The sequence below is a fragment of the Homo sapiens genome, chromosome 10, assembly GCF_000001405.40.
Source record: "Homo sapiens chromosome 10, GRCh38.p14 Primary Assembly".
Taxonomy (NCBI): domain Eukaryota; kingdom Metazoa; phylum Chordata; class Mammalia; order Primates; family Hominidae; genus Homo; species Homo sapiens.
In genome coordinates, this window is record NC_000010.11 from 85,187,924 (window position 1) to 85,198,970 (window position 11,047).

The 11,047-nt window shown below is 42.1% G+C and overlaps 1 long non-coding RNA gene across 2 annotated transcripts; it reads right to left on the bottom strand.

The window, feature by feature from the left end:
- Positions 1-5,497: 5,497 nt before the first annotated feature.
- On the bottom strand, positions 5,498-11,015 carry LINC01519 (long intergenic non-protein coding RNA 1519). Of its 2 annotated transcripts, none has more exons than NR_120667.1 (4): positions 10,996-11,015; positions 9,841-10,033; positions 7,931-9,010; positions 5,498-6,251 (listed from the first exon to the last, which is right to left on the bottom strand). It is a non-coding gene; the product is annotated as a long intergenic non-protein coding RNA 1519 (long non-coding RNA). The 2 variants fall into 2 exon arrangements; NR_120668.1 differs by lacking the exon at positions 10,996-11,015 and adding an exon at positions 10,786-10,982 and having other exon boundaries at positions 8,955-9,010.
- Positions 11,016-11,047: the final 32 nt, after the last annotated feature.

An 11,047-nucleotide genomic window follows, 5' to 3' on the forward strand; every position in this document is an offset into this window, starting at 1 on the left:
ATCTCCCAGTGAAGGGTGGGGAGGTTCCCTTATCTTTCAGGTGGCCAAGAGCATGCTTCTCTGATCCAAGTGTGCAAAGAGTCAAGTAACCCTCCCTAACTACTATTAGTCATCCCTTAAAGTATATTTCCTACCTACTTATTACACCCCAAAGCTCTCTCATAATGCAAAGTAATTTCTGACACCCCCAAAACTCAAAACCATCAGATAACACAATGCAAAACAGAACAGATCCTTTGATTTTGAGAGGGATCTGTCTGCCTTTAATTCCTGGGGTTTTATGAGGAAAACAGAGGTTTGTTTTTCTTTTTTTCCTGAAACGTGGTCTATGGCATCTCCTCTGTTTTTCCCAAGGAGTCTCATGCTACCAGAAGTTATCTTAGGGCCTCTCATGTGTGCACTAACAGTGGCAAGACAAAAAAAAAAAAAAAGGAATAATTCAGTCAACTGAGAAGAAAAAAACCTTTCTCAGGAAAAACATGTTCCAAGAAGAGAAAAACATAAAGACCTTTTAAATATATCTATAGCTTGTTTATCCATTTTAATTAAGCTGACTTCTAACCATAGTGCTCTTTAAAAAGGAAATCCTTGCAGATCTCTTATTACCCAACTTTAGCCATGCCAAGCAGCCAATATTTCTAGCTTCTGAACTCTACCAAAGGTAACCTCCTAGGTGCATAGAGAAAGGAAAATTTAAGACAGTCCATGGAGAAAAGAATAGACAAGGTCACACAGATATTAAACCAGAAACGACTTACTTTCTAGGTGGGGAATGGAATCCAGACCGCCACTGTGAAAGCACAAAATGTTAGCTACTGAGCTACATCAAAGGGCAGCCTCTGTTTTGTTTTTTGTTTTTTTTCCCCAGAAGAAGTTTAGAGTAGTTAATTTTGAGCTTGCAAAGGCTTTTAACTATTTAATATGATTTATAGAGCTAACTATGACATGAACCCTAAAATTCCTGTTCCCTGGAATGCAGAGACCAAAAGTACTGCCATGTTGATACAAGGTCAAGCTCCCAAGGACATCAAACAAGGTGGAGACTTCATCCAGTTTTTTTGTTTGTTTCAGGGACCTGCAGCCAAGTTTGTTGCTGACCAGCTTGCTGGGTCATCTTGAAAATCAGGCTTATAGGGGTGTTCTAAGCCCATGTTTTATCCTAAAGTACCCCTCAACACAGAAAAACGAATTAATAGCACAAAATACACCAACTTTAGACTAGACTTAGATATCTTCTTCACATTAATCAGAACTTTACAGAGGAAATAAACACTGTTTCCCCGCCGCCCCCCCCATTCATTCAACTGTTTACACACAGAGAGAGAAGCCAGAAATCTGATTGGTAAGAAATTGTTACCCTTTGGCTGGCATGCCTGGGTTCTGGGTTCCCTTTCCCTGAGTGGCCCTAGTGATCTGACTTGCAGCACCATCATCCTGGGGACCAAGCCACATCATAAAGGAAAATTGTTGTTGTTGTTCTTTTCTTCATTCTGCCCAGAGCAAAATACATGTGATAAAACATAGACATTAGTCACTTTGCTTAGCACCCAATAAAAAAACTGTCAAGGCTTAAATTTGCCCCCAGATGGGCCCTGTCATCTTTAATCCAATCTCCGACTTGGAGTTTCAACATGTGGTCTCTGGGCAAGATGGTCACCCTGAGTAAAAGAAAAGATAAGAAAGGGAAAGGAGAGAGAGGAAAACATTGCCTGTGGCAGGGTGGGGAAGGCAAAAATGATCAGAGAAGCCAGAGAAAGACCCTCCCATTGCAGCGACACTAAAAAGTTCAGGCAGCTGCTTCTTGGCAGCAAAGGGATCTTTTCCAGCAATCCTATTAGCTCTCAAGTTTCCCCTTTTTGGGAGGAAAAACTCCCCATGTCCCAAGATCCTGTACATGCCTAACCCTGTCACCCACAGCCATCAACACAGAGTACAAGGCAGATGAATCCAAAGAGAATAGCAGTTAACATCTCATAGTGTCAAACCTGTGCTTAGTCCAGAGGGACTTTACTGAGAGGGGCCTCTAAACCCCTAAATCTTAGAAAGGACTCTAACTGTCCTAACTTGCGCCTCTAACCCAAGGTCAGTCAAGCATCCTTGCCTTTTATTAAGAGGGGCCTCTACCCACTCTGTCTTAGGAGAGATTCTAACTTCCCTAAGTAGGGCCTCTAACCCAATCCCATTCTTTACCCAGGTACCCCACCATTTACCCAAAGTCATGTCATCAGTGGTACACTGTATTTCCTTTGGGTTGGGGGGGTCTCCTCAGTATTGTCCCTTTTGTGGTTCGCAAGAAAGATGTTACAAGACCCCAACACTTACCCAAAGGTAGCCACTGGGTCAGGGTCTCTGCTACAGGAAAGGGGTCCCGATCCAGACCCCAAGAGAGTGTTCTTGGATCTTGCACAAGAAAGAATTCAGGGCGAGTCCTCAGTGCTAAGTGAAAGCAAGTTTATTAAGAAAGTAAAGGAATAAAAGAATGGCTACTCCATAGACAAAGCAGCCCTAAGTGCTGCTGGTTGCCCATTTTTATGGTTATTTCTTGAGGATATGCTAAAAAACAGGTAGATTATTCATGCCTCCCATTTTTAGACCATACAGGGTAACTTCTCGACGTTGCCATGGCATTTGTAAACTGTCATGGTGTTGATGGGAGTGTAGTAGTGAGGATGACCAGAGGTCATTCTCGTGGCCATTTTGGTTATGGTAGGATTTAGCTGGCTTCTTTACTGCAACCCATTTTATCAGCAAGGTCTTTATGACCTGTATCTTGTGCCAACCTCCTATCTCATCCTGTGACTTAGAATGCCTTAACTGTCTGGGAATCCAGCCCAGTAGGTTTCAGCCTCATTTTACCCAGCTCCTATTCAAGATGGAGTTGTTCTGGTTCACATACCTCTGACAAGAAGGCATGGCCTCTGCAAAGGTCTTGAGGCACAGGCTGGCAAGGCAATTTGTTCAGTGTGTCCTGGGTCACTCTCCCCCCATATTCCCTGCCAAGCCACATCCCTGCCCTGGAGATGGCTGGTAGAAAGGAGTAAGGAAGGAAATGGCAGTATTTATTTACAGAGATGACTAACCTTCTCAGGGAAGAAAGGGCCAGGGTATGGGGGCAGTAATCTAGTGCTCAGAGAGATTGAGTTTCTTCTTTCACATCACTTTGGCCAACATTTATGAATTTAAATTAAATAGAATATTTGGCAGTTCTGACATTTCACAACATTCCATTTGACCTCCAGTTATAGCTCAAAAGTACAGAAAACCTTGTTGTCAAAATTATATACATACACACACACACATACACACTCAAAGACACACATATACATATATATATTGACAGAGAGAGAAAGTTCCATTTTCTTAGTATTGAATGATTTGAAACTCACTGTATATTTACTCAGCTGTGCACAGCAATTACCAAATAGCTAAATGGTCAAGAATTTCCACAAAGTAAAACACAAATACCTGATATTTATGCTTTAAAGTTTCCCCTTTCAAACCATCATAATTTAACCCTCAGCATGGGGATTCCCTACTGACACCAGGGTTTGAATGACAGAAGGGATCAGCCACTGTATTTTGTTTCCATCAGGATCACATTAGCAACCTGTAATTTCTCCATATTAGAAAATAGCACTAATTTCCAAATAACAAGCAGTTGTAGGATGACTTTGCCCCCTGTCACCTAATGCTACTGTCATTTACACCCCTTTTCTGTGCAAAGGCTGAGACAGGGAGCTGCTCCCTCTAGCCACTCATAGACAGGACCCTGGGGCCTCTGTGACCTGCAGCCAAGCCACCTCTCAGGAATGGTACCTCCCAGAAGTCCTGCTTCCTTCCTTCTCTCATCCCTGAGAGCCTAGGGCCTTTGGTCCCTCTCTGAAGGGAAGGATTTGCAGAAATCCTCTGCATTTTGGCATCTTTCCTGAGTGGCAGGCCATTGTCTTCCAGAGGCTTGAAGACACAATGGATTACATACAGACATACACTTATAGGAACATGGCTCAAACTGTTTTCAGAGAAGCCCTGTCTCAATATTATAATTTGTTTTGAGAGCTTTCAACTGTATTAGTTCTGAGGTGTCATGTCCAGAGAAAAGATAGTGATTATTTGTGGTTTCAGAATCCCCAAAAGCAGCTGCATTCAGGTGAGGGTTGCAAAACAGCTACACAAACCGTGGAAAAGGAGAAACACAAAGCCAGAAAGAGGAGTGAGAATTTTCAGGCCTTCAAGTTCAGGAAGACCAAAATCACAACAAAAGAAGACTGATGGTTATGAAAAAGTTTAAGTCCATTTCTTGGCACACACCATTTTCTGTGGAGATGGTGTGAGGGGTGTAATTCTAAGGGAGCAGGGTATGAGTTTAACATTTAAGAGTGCAGATGTGCAGAACTAGGTTTGTGTCCAGGGATGCACACTTGAGATACAGCACAGACTGTGAGAGTGAGGAGCTTGGCTGGAAAGTTGGGTAAGTTTCCCAGGGAAAGGGAACGACAGGACACAACTTTTCCTGTTTCAAAAAAATCAGCCTGGGTACCCCACTTCCAGATGCGAAGGCCCGAGACCTTGTTGGACTTGCTCCTTCTGGCTTCAGAAAGGAGTAGCTCTGCCACCTGACTAATCCTTATACCCAGCTAGGAAAGGGCTTGGACTGAGACTGGCCACATTGGAAAGAATTTCCAATGACATTTCTTTAGTCTAATGATACCTCTATGCTCAACAAAGACAACGGTTCTTATCAATTGCTCTGGCTCTGTACTAGCTAGTGAAAGAGAATGTGGCTTATGCCTGTCCTTGGGATGTTGATTTTGCATAGACTTGAAGGTGGAGAACATGATCAACTGCATACTGCCCATACATGTGCAGGTTTTATTCTGATGACCATAGTCTTTATTGGAAAGCTTTATTTTTAAATCTCAAAATATCCTTCCAAAGAACTTCCTGCTCCTTTCTTGTATAATGAACACAATCATACAGAAAACTGCCAGTATGGGAATAAAGCTGACTTGAGATAAAATTCAAGTTCTGACATAACTAACTGTATGACCTTGAGTAAGTCATTGAATTCATCTCCCACTACAGAGAAAGAGAGATATGTTGACCTAAAATTTGAAGTGTTGGGATAAGGAATAAATCATGTGTCATATACCAAAAGTCTAGCAATGTTCTTAATCCAGCATGTCCCAAAAAGACTTCTATTTGGCTACAAAATACATACTCTCTCCTCTAACTCCTACTAGTATCCCCAGAATACTTAGGAAAGTCTGCGCTCTCCACAACTGCTGATTCCCATTTTCCAGTTTTCCTTCTTTCTGTGAGAGTGAGAAGCAGAACATTTAGGCTGGCACATTGCAGTTCCTTTGCCTTAGGCTAACTGACCTCTTCAGATGTCAAAGTATTGTGAACTCATATTGGGAATCCCCTTTTCTGAAGTGGCCTGACAGGGCTTTGATAATCTGAGAATCTTTGGCATAGTGACTGTTCCACTGTCAGCTTCCTGCATTTATCATTTAATCAGACATGTTTAGTTTTTACAATGGATACTTTTCTTCCCAGAACAATGTTGGGATAAATATGTCATTTAAGAACCTTCCTTTATGTCTTGCTGATCTCCCATCAAATTTTATCTTGGTCACATAAAGATCAGATTGTCCTTTGTCTATGAGTGTGCAATGATTGGGGAGGTTGAGAGAAGGGGGCTAACAATAACAGCTTTTGCGGAGTGCTCCCAGAGGAGGATGTGGCAAGGACACAAGACACAGGACTCGAACTCTGCGGATGCAGGCTTGTCCATTGCAAGAAGGGGCAACCAGCCCATTTACAGATGAGCAAACAGAGGCCCAGGCGATACTCAACTGGTTCATGTTCACATGATGCTGGGTACATGTAGAGCAGATTGTTTGTTTTTTTCTGCTGCAGAATGAGGTCTTACCATGCTTCCTCTTTAGCTACCCTGAGGGTTTAGTGCTGGCCTCTCATGGTTTGCTCTTCCCAGTGCTGTCTATGGATTGTACACAAAGACTCTGGTATTGTCAAGCTGGCTTTGCCAAGTTGACAATCGATGTTACAGAGGACAAAGAATCCCAGAGGATGAACTTCTGCCACTTGACCTGGTGTCCTGGGAGATGCCTGAGTGATTGATCTTCCCTCTGGGCCCTGGGAGGACGCAGTTCAGAGATCAAAGTTCGAGGTCCCTGAGGAGGCATTAGGCTAAGAGAGTGCTCTTCACAGAAGACATGGAGACAACACCCCTGAATAAAAGGAACAGAATAATTAAATATAACTAGAAGATTAAATTTAAATTGGCACACAACCCAAATTTTAAGTTTGGGTTTTATCCTAATGTCTACCAGGGCTTTAAAATCTTTTTGTTTCATAATATTCACCAGGAAAAATAGAGGTATAGCTTATGTTAGTTCTGTAGCTTAAAATTATCTTTTAAAAAAATTCTCACACTAGATACAATATTAGGTTGTTCTTATTAGTTTTTCCATAAAAACATATTTGCAAGAATAGTCTTGTTTAAAATCTAATGGAATCATAGTTTGTAAATGCTCAGTTAAAGATTTAGGTGAATATGATTGTCCCATCAATGAGTGTTGCGGGAATTTGTTCATGGAAATTAGATTTTTGATGCTGCTTCCTTTCCCAGGTGGCATGTTATCATCTCTTTAGCTACATTTTCCATTGGGTTATTGCTGCAGATGTAGCCTCAATGTCAAAACATTTGGGAAAAACAGTATCATATTGCAAACAGCCTCAGTGATACGTTGGGGCCATTTGGGGAAGGGGACAGACTATCCAAGGTTCAACCTCATCATGTCCACACTGACCTTACAGAAGCAAGATTCACAAACCTGTGGGCTGGCTGTCCCCTGCCTGGGCTATGATTGATTTAGAAATCATGTGGGGCTGAGGCTTGAAAGCTATGAGTTGCTGGGGAGGATGGGGCTGGCAGAGGCAGCTCTAAAATTGTCAATGCATAATTGCGTGTCTGCCAGGTTATCATTATTCACTTGGGGTTGCAGCAGGGATCACATTAATACACTGACAGCTGACTCCTTAGGAGAACAGCTGAGTAGAATCTCATCCTCACCCAGGAAAGATTCAATATGCAATAAAGGTGGGGAAAAAAGCAAATCTCCTCAAAATTTCTCTCCATCTCTCTTCCTCTGTTTGATGGCCCTTTGGAAAGCTCATTTATAATGTAGCCATGGTTGCAGGGTGATTGCTATTCTGTACATCTATCCAAGAAGAGACTCTGATATGTTGATCTATGTAAGACTCTGATATGTTCAGCCACTGAGGATTCTATTTGTGAAAGAGTTTAATAGGTGTTTTGGGGAAAGGCCATGGCCCCTGTCACTGTGGAGTTAAAACTCATGGTTGGTAAGACTCTGATGTAAACCTTCCACCTTAACAGGGAAGATGCGGGAACCCGGGGCCCCTAGAAGGTTTGACATTTGATGTGATTCTGTAGTCACAGGTGTTTTCCTCAGACCAATCCTATAGACAATATCCCTTGAATTTACTGAGAGAGGAGGTAGGATGAAAAAGCAGATCAGCAACCCCAACAGGATTGCTTCTATCACAGGGCAAAATGAAGAGAGAAGGGCTATGGGTTGGGATATTCATAAAAACAAGGATAAAGTTGTTTATCCTGTTTTTAACCTGGAGAAATCTAGACTGAAAAATGGGTTGATGAGGACCCAGAAGGGAAGGGAGGAGAGCTGCCAGCAAACAGGATACCTTTAGAGGGAGTACAGGGCCCATCCTGTGCTGGTAAAAGGGTAAGTGGTGAGAAGGCCACACCAGGGCTTTATAGCAGCAGACACCAGCAGAGCGGTCCTGGTCACCAAGAGAGTAGGAAGTCCTGTTCAGGGAGTGGATGGGCCACAGAGAACTCTGTAGAAAAGGGAGGTGGATGTACCTGTAATTTCTCTCCGGCATCTCTATGCTAGACACAACTGGAGTAAGCAGTGGATGAGAACACTGGAGCTGGAATCATATCACCTGGATTCAAATCCTGTTCCTGCCACTTGCTACTATTCATGACAGTGGAAAAGTTTACCACCTGTGGCAGACATAGAGATAGGTTTCTCAGGTTCCCTTTCAAGAATGGAGTTGCTACTCAGTTGAGAAGAGTGTGGATAGCTGATGGCCTCTAGCTATTAGGCGTACAGTTCATCCACACTTATAAGCTGAAGTCATGCTGCTCTTAGGGCAGCCCTTGCCAATGACTAAGCATGGTAGAGAAAAAAGGGTCCAGGCATTTCCTTCAAAAGGGGACTCCTCTAGTGGGCAGTCTTTGCTTTGTTTCTTCTGGGACTGTGCAGAGACCTTGTCAAGTCTGCATGGTGGTCTGATGGCTCCTGATATTCTGTCACTCAGGCTGGAGTGCAGTGGCATGATCATGGCTCACTGCAGCCTTGAGCTCCCAGGCTCAAACGATCCTTCTTCTCAGCCTCCCAAGTAGCTGGGACTACAGGTGTGTGCTATCACAACCAGCTAAATTTTTGTATATTTTGTAAAGATAGGGTCTCCCAGTGTTGCCCAGGCTGTTCTCAAACTCTTGGGCTCAAGCAAAGCCCCAGCCCCAGCCTCCCAAAGTGCTGGGACTACAAGTATGAGCCATCACACCCCAGGAATTAATCCACAATAAGCTTTTCTATTTCTGACTCCATCTTAGCCACTGCTTTCCAGAGAACCTGTTAGTGCCATGGCCCTATAGCTCAGTTTCTTCACTTGCAAATTGAAGATGGAGATAATCATTCCAGGCAGACAGGAATCAGGCAATGGTGGTGCTAAGCATGAGGAAGTAATTTCACTCCAAAGCAAACAGCACATATAGAATCAGAGACTTGTGAAACATCATGGCTTCGAAACAGTCTCACCTAATGCAAAACAATCACTCAGTGGACCCAGCAGCCCTTTGTGATACTTGTGATACGTACACCGTTTCTTCAGGGCAGTTGAACAGTTGCCCAGTGGCATGGAATCCATGTTACACCTGGAATTTCAAGAAGAACAAACTATTCACAAATAATACTCTTCATTGTTTCAAACAGGGCAGACTAGAGCCTAGAGCCTGCTACAGTCTTTCCTGGACTCATGAAGCCTATATTTGCATGTCATGCAAGCCAATTTACATTGGACTTATGAGTGTAATCTCTCTAGAGAGAATGAGGTCCTTTAGACTCAAGTGTATTCTTTGTCCTTTCCTCTCTAGATATATGCATTTGAACACATGAACAACGAGCAATTTGTGTGTATCTCAAGAAAATAATGGAAATGTGGCCAAATATGTCAATAATTAGGGAAAGCTAAAAAAGAAAAAAGGAAAACTCCAGGAACTCAATTGGTGTAGTGTTTTCCCTTCAAGAATGTACAACTACTGTCATTCGTGACATTTTGGGTAACTTGTGCACTGAACCACATCTTTGGCAGTGGCTTGTGCTGCCCGCGGCTAAATCATTCTCTCACCTTGATTTGCCATGTGCATTGGCCCCAATAAATCATACCCCACTTAACCCCATGCCCCGACCTTTTGTTTCACTCTCTCAATTTCTATCTTTTTCAGCCCTTTCAGGTTTAACAAATTTTTAAATTGATATAAAATTTTAAGTGATTAGACCATGTTTAGTGGTCTGATGTCCTCTTTTCATGTCCTCTATGCATCTCTCTCTCTCTGTCTCTCTTTCTCACACATCCTCACTTTTTTTCTCTACACACACACACACACACACAGAAACACACACCTCTTCCCCCTCCCTCTACATTCACCCTTATGCCTCCCCACTTATAGAGGAAAAAAATCAGAAGTATTTTCCCGCATCAAACCTGTCTTCTGGAGAGAAGAATATATCTGTCTCATTAGATGAGAAGCAAGGTTATCTAAGTTTTCTAGGTTTACTGGAGAGTGAGTCTTGCATTCCCCATTAGATGATAAGTTCACATGCTTAGCAAGCAGAGAGGTAGAGTCGTTGGGTTTTGTAAAGAAAGCCCACTAAAAGAGGCTGCTGTTCAATCCCACCTGGAAGGAGGAAATAGGAAATTACTAGACCAACATCCTTAATGGCTACCACACTAGGAGTGTGGTCTTGGGCAAGCTACCTAATTTTTTCCCTGAATTTACAAATTGAGATGATAATCATATTTTCTACACAATAGGACCACTATAGAATGAAATGAAAAAAGAAAACCACCCAGCCCTTGCACAGTGCTTGGAATATAGCAAATGTTCCTAAATGTTAGATATTATGACTTTTGTTTCCTAGCTTGATAAAAAATTATAAAGTTTACAGTCGCAGGAAAAATAGAATTTTAACATATGTTTCGCAATTTACACTGCAGATCTGCTGTTCTTTTGACATTTCTATAATATTTCCAAGTGTAGCTATGTTTGCCCCTCTGGGACACTGAGGTATGAGGTTGGCATGGTAAGGGGGAAACATTATCTCGGTTTCCCGTTTTCCCAATACTCCACGAATGGCCCAGAGATCATGTTTGGTTTAATGTTTCATGCAACCTGCTTTTGTGTTTTACTTTTTCACAAAATGAAGTGTTAATGCATGAAAGATCATTTACATATGGCCTACTAGTTATTTAAGAAAACAGCAATTAAACATGTTGAGATAATTAACAGTGTTCATACGATTAACAATGCTTTTTAGATGCTAGACATTAATGGAGTAGATGCCAAATAAATGTAATCCTACACTTCAGTTAGGATTTCTTTGTTAATTATATTAATTTACAAATTAAAAACAACAATCAAACAATCACATTCATTCAAACACAATGAGTATTTTAAAAGTTGAAATAATCAAGGGGAGTTTCTGCTCTGAGGACAGAATGGGATGGATTAACTGTATTTTCTGTTCCCACCAGAGGACAGAGTAATTAAGGACAAGAAATATCCTGCTACACTGCAGGCTACCCAAAATGGACTCATCCAACCCTTTCATAAGCGTAGTTTTTTTCAAGCTAACTTGCCTACTGGTATCCAACAAAATGGAATTGTTCTGCAGCTGTGATTCATATGCCC